The 16,424-nt window shown below is 38.0% G+C and overlaps 1 protein-coding gene and 1 pseudogene across 7 annotated transcripts in view; both read left to right on the top strand.

Moving 5' to 3' along the window:
• The window catches only part of OPHN1 (oligophrenin 1), a 391,498-nt gene that overhangs the window by 321,666 nt on the left and 53,408 nt on the right, over positions 1-16,424 (top strand). For all 7 annotated transcript variants that reach the window (XM_011530961.2, NM_001437258.1, XM_006724653.3 and 4 more), the window contains 2 exons: positions 217-322; positions 15,147-15,306. In XM_011530961.2, coding sequence (XP_011529263.1) covers positions 217-322; positions 15,147-15,306 — 266 coding nt within the window. The remainder of the gene's footprint in view (positions 1-216; positions 323-15,146; positions 15,307-16,424) is intronic.
• Positions 10,044-10,108, top strand: RNU6-1225P (RNA, U6 small nuclear 1225, pseudogene; annotated as a pseudogene).

Here is a 16,424-nt window from a genome sequence, read left to right as displayed (position 1 = left end):
CCTATTTATCTCTCTGTCTCTTTTCATCTCATTGATTATCTCTCTCTCTGTGTGTGTCTCTGGGTGTCTTTCTCCGAATCTCTCTCTGTGTGTGTGTGTGTGTGTGTGTGTGTGCATGTGTGCATGTGTGTGTGTTTGTGCATATATATGTGAGAATTTTGCTCAATCCAGTTGCCCAGAAAGCCAAACCATTTATCTCTTACTGTTCTATCCCAGAGTCTGACAACCTGGATTACCGCCTAGGAGCTATTCACTCCCTGGTATATAAGCTACCAGAAAAGAACCGAGAGATGCTGGAACTTCTGATAAGACACTTGGTCAAGTAAGTAACTGCTGGATTTTCAGAAAAAGTTCCTATTAGAGGACTGGCCCATGTGGTTGGACTACACAGAAACTGCCTCTCAGCTCTTTCAGCCCCAGCCCTTAAGTGCTTCCTTGGAAGCTGAATGCTCTGTGAGGAAGGCTATTTTGCCTTGACCCATGTACATATCCTCTTAGAGTCATCATGCATGTGGATTGTCTCAGTTGAAAGGTAGCAGCAAGGTAGAGTGGGGTGGACACAGGCTTTGCTGTCAGATGAGCCTGGTTTTGAATTGAAGCTCTCCAACTTATTTGCTGTATAATCTCAGGCAAACCTCTCTGAGTCTGTTTGGTCATCTGCACAATCCCTACAATGAAGGCCAGTTGTGTGGATTAGGATGAACACAGGTAAAATGCATGTCACATGAGAGGCTCTCAAGAAATGGCACTTTTTGTTAAGATTCTGGTCAACTTCTTGCCATGGTGTGGCTGGCAGTAACAGACAGCGGGATCCTGGAGAATAGTCCTGGTGACAGGCACTGAGATAGGCAGGTGAAAGGGGCACTTGTGTCCCACAGTGGTGCTTCCTGGCCAGAAGATTTAATATTGTGAATCAAGATGAATTTACTTGGCTTAAAAAAGGCGGAAAGCATTCTGTCCAGGAGCCAGCAGACCTGGGCTCTAGTTTCATTTCTGCTTTCTGCTATTAGTTCATTTTGTGACCAGGGACAGGTCACTCTTGAGGCCTCTCTTGGTATATATATTAAAAAATTGTAATGTATTTTAAGTGTATATATTTAGCAAGTGCAGTTGTCTGCATACTCAAAAGATGCAGTAATGATACATTTTAACCTCATTTGGAGAGGCTCTGAAACACCTAAAATTGAGGCCTTTAATGAAGGTGAGTTTCCAGGTTAATGGCTCTTTTGGCCTCCCCCTGTAATAAATCCTGAGTGCTTTGCCTATCTGGACCTCGAGTTTTCCTATTATATGTGAGATCTCCAAGATCTGATTCAGCTCTGACTTTCAAAGACTGTTTTCTACACTTCTATAGCAAATGAATATTGTGGACACTGATGTAGGTAATAAGCAGAATTAACAAGAGAGAATGGCTTTTATATTTATTGCCAGTGTTTGCAATTTGAGCTAATAGAGAACATTAAGAGGCATGTGGTCTCCAAAAAGTAGTTTGTGATCATCTCAGTAAATGTACAAAAATCAGCAAAGAAGCTATTTGCATGTTAATTTAAAGTTGCCCTGGAGGAGTCTTTGAGTCCAAGTTCCAGATCTGTCACAAATATGCTGTGTGACCTAGAGAAAGTTCCTCCCACTCTCTGGGCCACAGGTTTGTGCATCTATAACACGAAGAGACTGAAGCAGCTAATCTCAAAGGGTTTTCTCAGCTCTGACTTTCTGAGAGTCTCAACATGTGACGAGACCCAAGGACTCAATTGAGGATGCCCGTGCTTAGTGAGCATCAGGGTGCCTGCCTCTATCTGCCCAAAGGCTGGCTGCTTGGCTTACTTTAAGAATCTTAGTCCTCAAAATCTTGAAATCAAAAGAAGACATGAACAAATAGATCACAGAAATAGAATGGCAAATACTCTTAAGTATGTGGTAATATGCTCAAGCTCACTCATAGTAACAAAAATACAAATTAAACCTATACTGAGCTACCATTTATTGTCAAATCCTAATGCTTATTAATTAGACTATGGGGAAACTGTCCTCTAATACATTTATTGTATTAATGCAGTACAGTTCCAGAAGAGGGGATTTGGCAGTACCTAACAAATCTACACATTCAGTTATCCTTTGACCCAGCAAAACAGCGTAAAACAGGGTATATGATATGTTAGCTTTTTTTTTAAGGCGTATACTCTAAAGATACACCTCCACCAATACAAACAACACATGCACAAGATTTCTCATTGCAGCACAATTTTCAAAAGCAAAAGATTGGAAACAACACAAGTATCTGAAAATAGGGGACTAGTCGAGTAAATAAGGGTGTATTCAACAGTGTAGTATTATGCAGTAATTTAAGAAAAGAATGAGGAAGATCTCTATGAACTTTGTTTTGTGGTGATTTTCTGGGATATATTACAATTTTCCAGCACGTAAAACAAACATCATAAAAAATCTCTGGCTGTAAAACAAGGTTTATAATATGCTAGCTTTTCTTTTGTAAGAAAAAAGAGGAAAATAAGAATATGTAAGAATACACACACATTTAAAAAAATTTGTCAAATGAAGCATACACTAAGATAAATTTAAAAAAAACTAATGACTCCAAAAGTTAAATGTAGAGTTGCCATAGATCCAGCAACTCCACTCCTAGGTATATACCTAAGATAAATGAAAACATGTCTCCACACAAAATCTTGTACACAAATGTCCATAGCAGCATTATTTCATAGTTGTTGAAAAGTGGAAACAACCCAAATGTCTGTTAACTAATGAATAGGTAAACAAAATGTGATATACAGGCAATGGAATATTATTCAGCCATAAAAAAGGATGAAGTACTGATACATGCCACAACATGGATAAACACTAAAAGCATTATGCTAAGTGAAAAAAAACAAGACACAAAAGTACATATTTTATATGATTTCATTGATATGAAATGTTCAGAGTAGACAAATCTATAGAGAAAGAAAGTAGATGAGTGGTTGGCAAGGTCTGGGAAGTGGGGGTATGAGAAGTAATGGGGAGTAATTGATAATGAGTATGAGGTTTCTTTTTGGAATGATGAAAATTTCTGGAATTATATAAGGGGTGACAGTTGCACGGCTCCGTGAATATACTAAAAACCACTTAATTATAACCTTTAAAAAGGTGAATTTTCTGATATGTAAAATATATTTCAATAAATGTATTATAAAAATAAACTAATGAAAGTGGTTATTATACTGGATAGGTGTGGTAAGTAGGGTGGAGGTGATAGGGGTAAGAGCTAGATTCCTCTAAGTATACCTCCTTATATACTTATGACTATTAAGCCATATTAATGTTTTACATATCCAAAAAAGAAAATTAAATCAAAAATTATAAACCGTAAAACTGAACACCAATAAAAGCAAATGACTTTAATGAACCTAAGTGTTTATCAACTTGATAGCATAATTACAGAGAGAAAGCAATTATTTCAACTAACGTGTCAACACAGTCCTCTGACTCATCCTTAATGAGATGTACTCTAGAAACAAGAAGAGCAAAATTTTAAGCAACACTCAGTAGGTTTATTAATAGTAGTAATATAATTTAACTTGAAACAAACACACAGATCTTATAAAGATAAAGCAAAAAAGTAAATATGTTAATGTTATCACAAGCTAAGTTTATAGTGTACAAAAGAGATACTGATAAAAAAGACATAAGGAAAAAAAATTTTAACATTAAAATTAAATTAAGAATGTTAATATGAATTCATGATTTAAAGAGAAAGCAACAAGAAGAAAAAACTTTATCCACTGAAACAGTGTCGAAGGGATTCTACCCAAAAAGAAGTGAATACACTTAGTGCCCAGTTTTTTGTTTTTAAATAGCATTTCCTTTTCAAAGGAATCAGGGGTGCTTAGAGAAATGGCTGATTGCATGTCTGGAGCAAGGAAAATACAAAGTTAGTCTTGGATAAATAGTACCACCAAGCAAGAAAGAACAGAGTCACACTAATAGTGTCATGTCCAAAGGACGTAGAAACCTTGAAAGGGCTGACACTGATGATGTTTGAGCCAACCTGAACATCAATAACAATAAATAATGTATTTGATTATTACATGTTGAAAAACAAAACTCCTGGAGGTGGGTAGAGGAAGGAAATCTCTTTATTGCAGAAGGAATACCAGCTAATAAACATAGGAGGAATGACAGAATTAGAAAAATCATTAGTTTGCAATCTAAGTGATCTGTTTTAGACATGAATCAAAACTATTGGGCAAGAGTATTGAGGAATAGGATGTTCACATTATTCCAGTGTATTACTGACAAGTTACTTACTAATCACAAATAAAAAACAATGTATCTTTACAATGAACCTATCTGGCAGACACCACCTTAAGTAATTGATCAAAGTTAGCATCAGTAATAACGGAACAGGCCAAGTGCAGTGGCTCAGGCCTGTAATCCTAGCACTTTGGGAGGCCGAGGCGGGTGGATCACCTGAGGTAACGAGTTCGAGACCAGCCTGGCCAACATGGTGAAACTCCGTCTCCACAAAAACACAAAAATTAGCTGAGCATGATGGTGGATGCCTGTAATCCCAACTACTCTGGAGGCTGAGGTGGGAGAATTGCTTGAACCTGGGAGGCAGAGGTTGCAGTGAGCCGAGATTGTGCCATTGTAAATAATGGAACAAACCACCTTATGTACCTCCTAATTAGACATAATAAAAATTATAAAACATTAACTGTGAAATATTTTTGCCAAAAATACGTAGCCTGAATCAAATTAATTCTTTCCAATTTGCAGGAAATAAAGAGTATAGAAAAACACACAGTATTTGACAGTCTATAAAGCTTTTGAAAAGGCTTGGACTTTTCAAAAAGTCAATGTTGTGGGAAAAAGTGGTAGAGGTACTGTTCTACATAAAGAGACTAAAGAAACAAACAAATACAGTATAAGAGCTTTGTTTGGATCCAAATTTGAAAAACGCAGCTATAAAAGACTTTTTCTCCCATAACATTTGAGAAAATTTGAATATGGACTAGATATTAGATGATATAGAATCTACGTTTTCTAAGATGCAAACATGTTATTGTGGTTTTGTAGGAAAATGTGCTTATTCTTTGATGATGAATGCTGAAGTATTTAGGGTTGAAGCAATGTACTTTCAGAGGATTAAGAAAAAATATAGACAGAATAAAAGCAAATATGGCAATATGTTAATTTTTGAGTCTAGGTATAGACAGTATGAGTCTTCCTAGTACCACTCTTTCAACTGTTTTGTATGTTTGAAAATGTTTATAATGAAAATTGTAGGGAAATGTAAATAAAAAATAGGCTTAGTTTCAATAGAGAAATTTACACAGGAGAAGAAAATTCAAGTGTTTTTAAAATGCACATAATTATCTTGCCTGTCAACTGCTGCTTTCATCATCTATATGATGAGTACATCTATGCCTTTGTACTGTGTTTCCACTGACAGCCTGTTTTCTAGGCTAATAACAGGCAGAACCAAACTGACCTTAGCCAATTTGAGGTTCTCAGTTATCCAGTTCTTTTTGGTTAGTATCTGTAGCTTCTATTAGTCAGAAGTAGGAGAACTCTAAGGCCACCTCCCTGGCAATCTTACTACCAGTGGAATATTACAATGGAAGCAAGCTCCAGGCCTAATTCTGCCATTCTTATAGCTATTTATCAGCAGGCAGACGAAAAAAGACTTGAACAACCTGTTCTGCAAACTCAAATGAAGTCCCAGCTCTCTGTCCTTTCAGATGCCCTGCCTGACAACATCTTGGATGAAAGGTTCACTGGAGGCAGATAAGATTGGAGTCAGACAATAAAATCCTACCATCTAGTACCCCTATGTAACCTTAGGCCTGGGCTACCATTCTGAAGGGTATGGGTTATTAGCTTACTAGGTTCTTTTTACTTTTGTAATAATACTTCTCTTATTTGAGAAGCAATACTGTGCATTGTATAAATTAGAAAATTTTTAAAAAGCAAAAAAAAAAAAAAAAAGGAAAAGCTTTCTATTCCCAACATTCAATAATCATTACTGTTAATATAGTTCAGGTTTTTTCGGATCTCTCTCTCTCTCTCTCTCTTCTCTCTCTCTCTCCCTCTTTTTCTCTCTCTCGTTGTGTGTGTGTGTGCATGCATTTTTGTATACACATACCTGTTTGCATTTTTTTTTACCAAAATGAGATTATGCTGTTCTTTAGTCTACTTTTTCCATTTTAACAATTTTGACTTTTCCAGACCATATTAACTTTTTCCCATTTGACCCAAAAGTGGCCTTTTATAGGTGTTTGTCCAATCTGGTATTCAATATAGGAACACATTTTATTTATGTCCTTATTGTGTTTTTAATCTAGCACAGTGCTTGTTTCTATTATTATTATTATTATACTTTAAGTTCTGGGATACATGTGCAGAACGTGCAGGTTTGTTACATAGGTATACCCGTGCCATGGTGGTTTGCTGCACCCATCAACCCATCATCTACATTAGGTATTTCTCCTAATGCTGTCCATCCCCTAGCCCCCCACCCCCCGACAGGCCCCAGTGTGTGATGTTCCCCTCCCTGTGTCCATGTGTTCTCACTGTTCAACTCCCACTTATGAGTGAAAACATGTGGTGTTTGGTTTTCTGTTCCTATGTTAGTTTTCTGAGAATGATGGTTTCCAGCTTCATCCATGTCCCTGCAAAGGACATGATCTCATCCTTTTTTATGGCTGCGTAGTATTCCATGGTGTATATGTGCCACATTTTCTTTATCCAGTTTATCACTGATGGGCATTTGTGTTGGTTCCAAATCTTTGCTATTGTGAATAGTGCTGCAATAAACATACGTGTACATGTGTCTTTATAGTAGAATGATGTATAATCCTTTGGGTATATACTCAGTAATGAGATTACCAGGTCAAATGGTATTTCAGGTTCTAGATCCTTGAGGAATCACCACACTGTCTTCCACAATGGTTGAATTAATTTATGCTCCCACCGACAGAGTAAAAGCATTCATATTTCTCCACATCCTCTCCAGCATCTGTTGTTTCCTGACTTTTTAATGACTGCCATTCTAACTGGCGTGAGATGGTATCTCATTGCAGTTTTGATTTGCATTTCTCTAATGACTAATGATGATGAGCTTTCTTTCATATGTTTCTTGGCCTCATAAATGTGTTCTTTTGAAAAGTGTCTGTTCATTTCCCTCGCCCACTTTTTGATGGGGTTGTTTGTTTTTTTCTTGTAAATTTAAGTTCCTTGTAGATTCTGGATATTAGCCCTTTATCATATGGATAGATTGCAAAAATTTTCTCCCATTCTGTAGGTTGCCTGTCCACTCTGATGATAGTTTCTTTTGCTGTGCAGAATCTCTTTAGTTTAATTAGATCCCCTTTGTCAATTTTGACTTTTGTTGCCATTGCTTTTGCTGTTTTAGTCATGAAGTCATTGCGCATGCCTATGTCCTGAATGGTATTGCCTATGTTTTTATCTAGGGTTTTTATGGTTTTACGTCTTACATTTAAGTCTTTAATCCACCTTGTGTTAACTATAAGGTCTAAGGAAGGGGTCCAGTTTCAGTTTTCTGCATATGGCAAACCAGTTTTCCCAACACCATTTATTACATAGGGAATCCTTTCCCTATTGCTTGTTTTTGGCAGGTTTGTCAAAGATCAGATGGTTGTAGATGTGTGGTGTTATTTCTGAGGCCTCTGTTCTATTCCATTGGTCTATATATCTGTTTTGGTACCAGGACAATGCTGTTTTGGTTATTGTAGCCTTGTGGTATAGTTTGATGTCAGGTAGCATGATGCCTCCAGCTTTGTTATTTTTGCTTAGGATTGTCTTGGCTATATGGGCTCTTTTTTGGTTCCATATGAAATTTAAAGTAGTTGTTTCTAATTATGTGAAGAAAGTCAATGGTAGCTTGATGGGGATAGCATTGAATCTACAAATTACTTTGGGCAGTAAGGCCATTTTCATGATATTGATTCTTCCAATCCATGAGCATGGAATGTTTTTCCATTTGTTTGTGTCTTCTCTTATTTCCTTGAGTGGCAGTTTGTAGTTCTCCTTGAAGAGGCCCTTCACGTCCCTTGCATGTTGTATTCCTAGGTATTTTATTCTCTTTGTAGCAGTCGTGAATGAGAGTTCACTCATGATTTGGCTTTCTGTTATTGGTGTATAGGAATGCTTGTGATTTTTGCACATTGATTTTGTTTTCTGAGACTTTGCTGAATTTGCTTATCAGCTTAAGGAGATTTTGGGCTGAGACCATGGGGTTTTCTAAATATACAATCATGTCATATGCAAACAGAGACAATTTGACTTCCTCTCTTCCTGTTTGAATACCCTTTATTTCTTTCTCTTGCCTGATTGCCCTGGCCAGAACTTCCAATACTATGTTGAATAGGAGTGGTGAGAGAGGGCATCCTTGTCTTGTGCCTATTTTCAAAGGGAATGCTTCCAGCTTTTGCCCATTCAATATAATATTGGCTGTGGGTTTGTCATAAATAGCTCTTACTATTTTGAGATACGTTCCATCAACACCTAGTTTATTGAGAGGTTTTAGCATGGAGGGTGTTGAATTTTATCAAAAGCCTTTTCTGCATCTATTGAGATAATCCTGTGGTTTTTGTCATTGGTTCTGTTTCTGTTTCTCTTTCCCGATTTCCCTGGACAGAACTTCCAATACTATGTTGAATAGGAGTGGTGAGAGAGGGCATGCTTGTCTTGTGGCGGTTTTTAAAGGGAATGCTTCCAGCTTTTGCCCATTCACTATCATATTGCCTGTTGATTTGTCATAAATATCTCTTATTATTTTGAGATATGTTCCATCAATACTTAGTTTATTGAGAGTTTTTAGCATGAAGTGATTTTCAAATTTATCAAAGGCCCTTTCTGCATCTATTGAGATAATTATGTGGTTTTTGTCATTGGTTCTGTTTATGTGATGGATTACATTTATTGATTTGCATATGTTGAACCACCCTTGCATCCCAGGGATGAAGCCAACTTGATCGTGGTGGATAAGCTTTTTGATGCACTGCAGGATTCGGTTTGCCAGTATTTTATTGAGGATTTCCGCATCAATGTTCATCAGGGATATTGGCCTGAAAGTTTTTGTTGTTGTTGTGTCTTCTGCCAGGTTTTGGTATCAGGATGATTCTGGCCTCACAAAATGAGTTAGGGAGGATTCCCTCTTTTTCTATTGTTTGGAATAGTTTTGGAAGGAATGGTAGCAGCTCCTCTTTGTACCTCTGGTAGAACTTGGCTGTGAATCCGTCTGGTCCTGGGGTTTTTTTGGTGGGTAGGCTATCAATTTCTGCCTCAATTTCAGAACTTGTTATTGGTCTATTCAGGGATACAACTTCTTCCTGGTTTAGTCTTGGGAGGGTGTAGGTGTCTAGGAATTTATCCATTTCTTCTAGATTTTCTAGTTTATTTGTGTAGAGGTATTTATAGTATTCTCTGATGGTAGTTTATATTTCTGTGGTATCAGTGGTGATATCCCCTTTATCATTTTTTATTGTGTCTATTTGATTTTTCTCTCTTTTCTTCTTTATTAGTCTGGCTAGCAGTCTATCTGTTTAGTTAATCTTTTCAAAAACCAGCTCCTGGATTCATTGATTTTTTTTAATGCATTTTTTGTGTCTCTATCTTTTTCAGTTCTGCTCTGATCTTAGTTATTTCTTGTGTTCTGCTAGCTTTTCAGTTTGTTTGCTCTTGCTTCTGTAGTTCTTTTAATTGTGATGTTAGTGTTTCGATTTTGTATCTTTCCCGCTTTCTCCTGTGGACATTTAATGCTATAAATTTCCCTGCGAATACTGCTTTAGCTGTGTCCCAGAGATTCTGGAATTTTGTGTCTTTGTTCTCATTGGTTTCAAAGGACTTATTTATTTCTGCCTTAATTTTGTTATTTACCCAGTAGTCACCCAGGAGCAGGCTGTTCACTTTCCATGTAGTTGTGTGGTTTTGAGTGAGTTTGTTAATCCTGAGTTCTAATTTGATTGCACTGTGGTCTGAGAGACTGTTTGTTATGATTTCTGTTATTTTGCATTTGCTGAGGAGTGTTTTGGCAGTACATATACTAAAATTGGAACGATACAGAGAAGATTAGCATGGCCCCTGCCCAGTGCCTTTTTTTATGATACTGTTTTACCAACAAGAGAAGACCAATTGTCCTGTAGAATGTTACTTCCTAGTTTTGTCTGCTTTCTTCTTTGTCATATATTTCAGCTAATTACTCTACTTCTTGTATGTTTTGTAAAGTAGAGGTTATATCTAAAGGCTAGATGGATTCCAGTTAACTATTTGTTGGCTGGAACAAATCACATGTGATGTTGTATACACCATATGCTGCATCACATCTGAAGATGCATAAGATTGGTTGATTCACCTTACTGATGTTAAGATTAACCATTGCTATATTTTTCTACCCTGTCAATGCAGGGCTGAGAGTGTCTGTACAATATTTTCAGCTAGTCCATATGTCTTTAATACATCTAGGCAATGATAATTCATTTTTACCTTATGTTATGCTCATTAACAAAGCCTTTGGTGTTGGTTGGAGATAATGTTAGCTGAAACTTACAGGAGCCCCTCTGACTTTTACCTGAGTCTTTAAATACTCATTAATCACCCCTAGAGTATGCGTGTATTCACAATTAGAATACTACAATTATAACTAATACGTTATACATGTTAGAGTATACATGAAAACTAACAAGCACATAAACCAAATTTCATCAGTTCTAATAACACTTTTTCTCAAATTGTAATCTGAATTCTGTACACATCTGAAAATCAATGGTTTCTTAAAATTACACTTATCAGGCAGCAGTTTTGATGTAATTATCATGGCCTCCATATGCATGAACTTGTAATAGCTGCTCATATTATAGTCACTTAAGTTAAATTATGTTCATTGTTGAGTTTATTTTCTATTTAAAATGTCTTCAAAAATATTACATGATGATATGACAATGAAATTACTTTTCTTTCTTAGTGGTACATAAATAATGTGCTCGTAACTGATGACTGATGAAATTCATGACATCGTATGGACTTTGTTGAAGTATTTAAAGTAAATGACAGATAATATAACACCAGTGGAGGAAGCCAAAGCTGTCAGCCCTTTAAAAAAAGGCACCATTTCGCTGGGCACGGTGGCTCACGCCTGTAATCCCAGCACTTTGGAAGGCCGAGGCGGGCGGATCACGAGGTCAGGAGATTGAGACCATCCTGGCTAACATGGTGAAACCCCATCTCTACTAAAAGTACAAAAAATTAGCCGGGCATGGTGGCGGGCACCTGTAGTCCCAGCTACTCGGGAGGCTGAGGCAGGAGAATGGCATGAACCCGGGAGGCGGAGGTTGCAGTGAGCCGAGATCGCGCCACTGCACTCCAGCCTGGGTGACCGAGTGAGACTCCATCTCAAAAATAAATAAATAAATAAATAAAAATAAAAAATAAAAAAAAGGCACCATCCTTGGGGATAGGGACCTGTTTGCTTGTGACACTGATTCACTCTCGCCTTCACTATTGTCTTTTCCTTTTGAAGAATTTTTTATTATGTAAGATTTCAAGTATATATGAAAATAGAAGAAACAGTATAGGGAAGTATTATGTGTCCATCACCCCTCCTTCAACTGTAATCAACACATGGCCAATCTTGTTTCATCTATTTCCCCACCCATTTCCCCTCCTCCCATGTTATTTTGAATCAAATCTAAGACATCATATTATTTCATCCACAAATATTTCAGTTTGTCTTGAAAAGATTAGAACTGTTTATAAACATAACATCACATCTAAAAAGAAATGAGTAATAATGTAATAATATTATCCATTATTCTGTGTTCAGATTTCTGCTTCCTTTTTAGTTTTGTGTTTCTGGGGTGTGTGTGTGTGTATGTGTGTGTGCGTGTGTGTGCGTGTATGTATGTATGTATAGGGTGGGAAAGGCAAGCATACTTAATAGATGGTTCTATGTTCTTCTAACAGGGGACACACAGTGTGTGGTTGTCTTTGCCCCCAATTATTTTCGAGAGCACTACTTTCTGAGATTCACTTAATTGTCAGAGCTGGAAGTCCCCTTAGATCACCTAATAACTTCATTTTACAGATGAGGGAACAGATACCTAAGGATGGAAAAAGATAGGCCCAGAGACACAATACTTTAGTAAAAGAACCAAAAAATATTGAAGGTAGCTTCCTTGTTTAGGAGTCAGAGGGCACACAGTTCTTAGAATTGTTGGATGCTAAAGCTGGGCGAGACCTAAAAGTTCATACAGATAGCCTCTCATTCTGCCAGAGGTCTCAGTCTGGCAATCTGTTGACAAGGTCCAGACCAGAAATATATTTTATTTGTCCTGCAGTGTTTTGGGAAAAAAGTGATTTGGCTTCAACATTTAAAAAATCCAGATAGTTCACATCAAAATATACATTTCAGGAAAAAAAGAGGATGTTAGCACACTGGATCTGCATGCCCACGTGGCAGCAATCAGTTGGGGTTGAGTAATGGTTTCTTGCTTTGGAATGGGCACAAGCTTCTAATTTGCCATAGCCCTCACCACTCCCAAGTGTTTTAACAAATATTATATTAGAGTTACATTAGATGTGACCTAGGAATTTCCCTTTCTTAAAACTAGAAGTTATTCTGTTGATGGTGTGTCTCTAAGTGAGTGGCGGGAAAATGGTGGTCTAAAGAATGTCTGCTTGTTTAAATGTGGCAGCCACTTCTCACCAGGCCCATTTCTCTCATGTAAGTTACCTGCCTTGCCCCTCTAGACATTTAAATTTATGACCTCTAATCTAAACCATGCAATCAGAATCATTTTATTCTGTACTGGAGGCTTCTCACAACCAACCTCAGTGGACTAGAGAGTTCAAGATTCCTTTGCTGTCAAATAACATCACATACTCTTGTTTTTGGTTTCATTCATCTTGTTAACCCACAATTTGGAATGTTACTTATCCCCCATACTGATTTTCAAAATATATAATAAAAAGAGAGACACTAAATGCAAAGCAATTTCCCCAAAGAATAGGTGAACTTCCAAATCTCATAAGAAGGCCAAGAAGGAAGAGTATCCTAAATGGGATGCCAAGTAACTCCCTCAGAGAATCAGAAGGTGGCTTTAGCTTAGAAGAGCTCACATATGAGTTTTGATTTCTCCAGAAAAGTTAGACAAGCAGGCAGTGGGATGCAATGGGATAACTATAAGACTTGGGGAGCAACAAATATGGGCTTGAATCTCTGCCTTGCCATATGACCTTGCCAAGTGCTTTGCTCTTGGTAAACCTAGGCTTCAAAGCTAAAATACTCTGCTTTTTGGAGTTGTGATGATTCTGTGAGCTGCTGGGACACTGAACAAAGATCAGTTCCTTTCAAAGTTCACAAAAGGAGATACACAAGTGCCCTTGTGGTTTAGCCTTTTAGGGTCACTTGGTGTTAGCATGGAGATACTTTTCCATTTTAATATCTGAAAAAAACTTCCGTCACTAAAGAATAAAGATTAATTGCAGGGGTATTGAAACTGTTAAAAGGAACACATCACCAGCCCAGCAATATCAAAAGCTATGAATGGTTGCTGTTCATTTCCATCTGAATGGTACTCAGCTTTGTCTAGGGCTTAACAGACTTCACATTAAGATTTGTCTAAGGATTCTGTCCTCCTCAATTACCCACTCAGTGTTAAGAACCTGCCATTCTCTTCTGGGCCTTAGCCTTGGTAGGTGTGGAGAGTGAGTGTTTCGGGTAGTCAGTTGGGCTGTTCCTACAGCCAAACTGACCAAAAGAGATTCTTGCCTTTTACTTGGCTGCCTCCAGGACTGTTTGAAACAGCACTAGGGAGCTCAATTCCTTTACAAATAATTCATTAGTACCTGCTGTGTGGCAGGCACACACACTTGGAAGTTGTTTATCATTTAGTAGGAGAGGCAGATAAGTAAACGGAAAATTGCAACTTACTCTGCTTGCCAGTGGTTTTAGTTAAGATGAGCACAGTGGGCTCTGGTCTCCCTGAAGGAGATGTAACGTTATGTGCATCTCCAAGGATAGATAGACATTTTGTAGATGTAGGGAGAGGGGGGATATTCCAGGTAGAGAGAACGACATGAGCAGAGAGGTATGGGGGTCTGAAACAATGTGGTATAACCAGACAACCCCAATCTAAGCAGTTTAGTATAACAAGAGTGTCAGAGGTCAGCAGTACCTGAAGGCTCCTGGAGAGGTAATAATAACAACAGATACTTCCCAGGGTGCCAGGTACCATGCTGAAGCAATTTATCTTTATTTATTCAACAACTCTCTGAAGTGGGTGCTATTTTCCCAGGTGGGAAAACTGAAGTTCAGAGAGGTTAGAGTGAGTGAACTCACTGTTGCGCAGCTGGTAAGTGGCCGTGTTGGGATTCAAACCCAGCTTCAGAGCCTAAGCAGTGAGTAGGGATTGGAAATAGGGGTCAAGTTACTCAAGTTATGGAAGGCCTCATTTGTCACTTTGAAGAGAATTGGCCCTATCCCAAAGTAGGAAGCCACTAAAGGGAATTTAAGCAATGAAAGTGACTAGGGATCAGAAAATCTGGGATTGCACGTTCTACTCTACAGCTAATTGACTGTGACTTCGAGCAAATTCCTTTCCTTCTTTGGGCCTATGTTTTTTCATCTGTAAAATAAGGAAGATGATCAAGGGCAAGTCTTAATGATCCCTTTCAGCTCTTTCAGGTTTTTGCTTCTCTAACGGGGGTCAGGAAGGGGCTGATTTAAGAGACTAGTAGGCATTCTCTCAATGTGCTTTGTGGTTCTTTGTACATGCTTTATACTTATATGGGCTGTTCCTCTTGCTTTGAATGTCCTCTTGCTTCCCTCCTGCCTCTCCAAATAGTATCCCACTAGCTTTAGTCCCTCCCCACATCCCTGTCTGTCTCTTAATTCCTTCAATGCTGTTAGCTAGGTTAGCTATGTCTAACCACTTTGATTCCTAATTTTATACTATCTTGTATTCTTTGCTGATTGTTTCCTTTGTAATCTTGCCTTCCAATACATACTTTAGGTGCTCCTTTCCTTCTACATTTTAGTTTCTCTTACCCTCTACAGCACCTAAAACAGTCTTGGTTGTAAGGGGATACTGGAGCAAATTTTGTTAATCTTGCCCCTTTTCTTCTGGCAGTGTGTGTGAGCACAGCAAAGAGAATCTTATGACCCCCTCCAACATGGGAGTAATCTTTGGGCCCACCCTGATGAGAGCTCAGGAGGACACTGTGGCCGCCATGATGAACATCAAATTCCAGAACATAGTGGTGGAAATACTAATCGAGCACTTTGGCAAGGTATGCATTTTCTATTCTCACTACCTGTCTTCCAAACATGTGACACTTTCCCCCAACTGCCTTTTAGTGCTGTGTCTTCCTCCTTGGCTCACGTTGACAGTGAAAGGAAATCCCATTATGACACAATGACATTTAATGGCAACTCTGACCCTGGGAAATTCATTCATTCAGCAAACATTGCTTAAGCTTATAACTATATTATTTTCAGACACCATGCTAAATACTGGGGGTAATGAAGAAGAAAAAGTCACTGTCTGTGCCTTTAAGGTGTTAACAATGTGTAGTATGGAGACAGATGGGTAAATAGGAAAATGATAGTATAAAAGTAGTCTATATACAATGAAACTGTAGGGGAGAAGATATTTATGTTCTCACCCATTGCTAGTTTCATGGCTGAGATCCCTATAACAAAAGACCGATTAACAAGAGAAAAGCATACAAATTTATTTAATAAGTTTTACATGACACAAGAACCTTTAGAAATGAAGACCCAAAGAAGCAGGTAAACTCTTGCATTTTTTATACTAAGTTTGATGAAATGGATCGTTGTGAAGATTAGTGATTAGAAGACAGAAGGATATGATCTAATGGTAATAAACTTAGGGGGATCTTAGCAAGGCTTGTTTGTTCAGATTCTTCTTGGTGTTTCTGTGTCTTCGAGGATAGGGATGTTCTTTTCCTTCAGTTATAGGGAGGGTACCTCTGGAATGACCTACTTCAGAGGAAGGTCAGAGAATTCTTTTATGGCCTGCTCCAGGGGAGAAGGTAGAGAAACCTTCTTGCTTCTGCTGTTTCCACAAACGCCAAAGTGCCATATTTTGGGATAGCAGGTCCTGAACTCCATCAAAACTAAAAAGAAATCAATGCTTACACTTATTCGAACCCCATCTCATTCCAAAAGTATATATGGTAGCATATTTTATATTGCACATAAAATATAAGGCATCATACATTATAATCAGGTCAAGTACAAAAGGTAAAACAAAGGTAGAGTCAGAAAATGATGCCCAGAATGAGGTTAAGACAAATATTTATTGACAAATTCTTGTACACTTGCAACAGATGGCCCTGCACACTGGGGTATAAGCTTCATAGCAGCTAGTGCCATCCTAGGGAAA

The sequence above is a fragment of the Homo sapiens genome, chromosome X (assembly GCF_000001405.40).
Source record: "Homo sapiens chromosome X, GRCh38.p14 Primary Assembly".
Lineage (NCBI taxonomy): Eukaryota > Metazoa > Chordata > Mammalia > Primates > Hominidae > Homo > Homo sapiens.
This window is presented reverse-complemented; position numbering and strand designations above follow the sequence as displayed.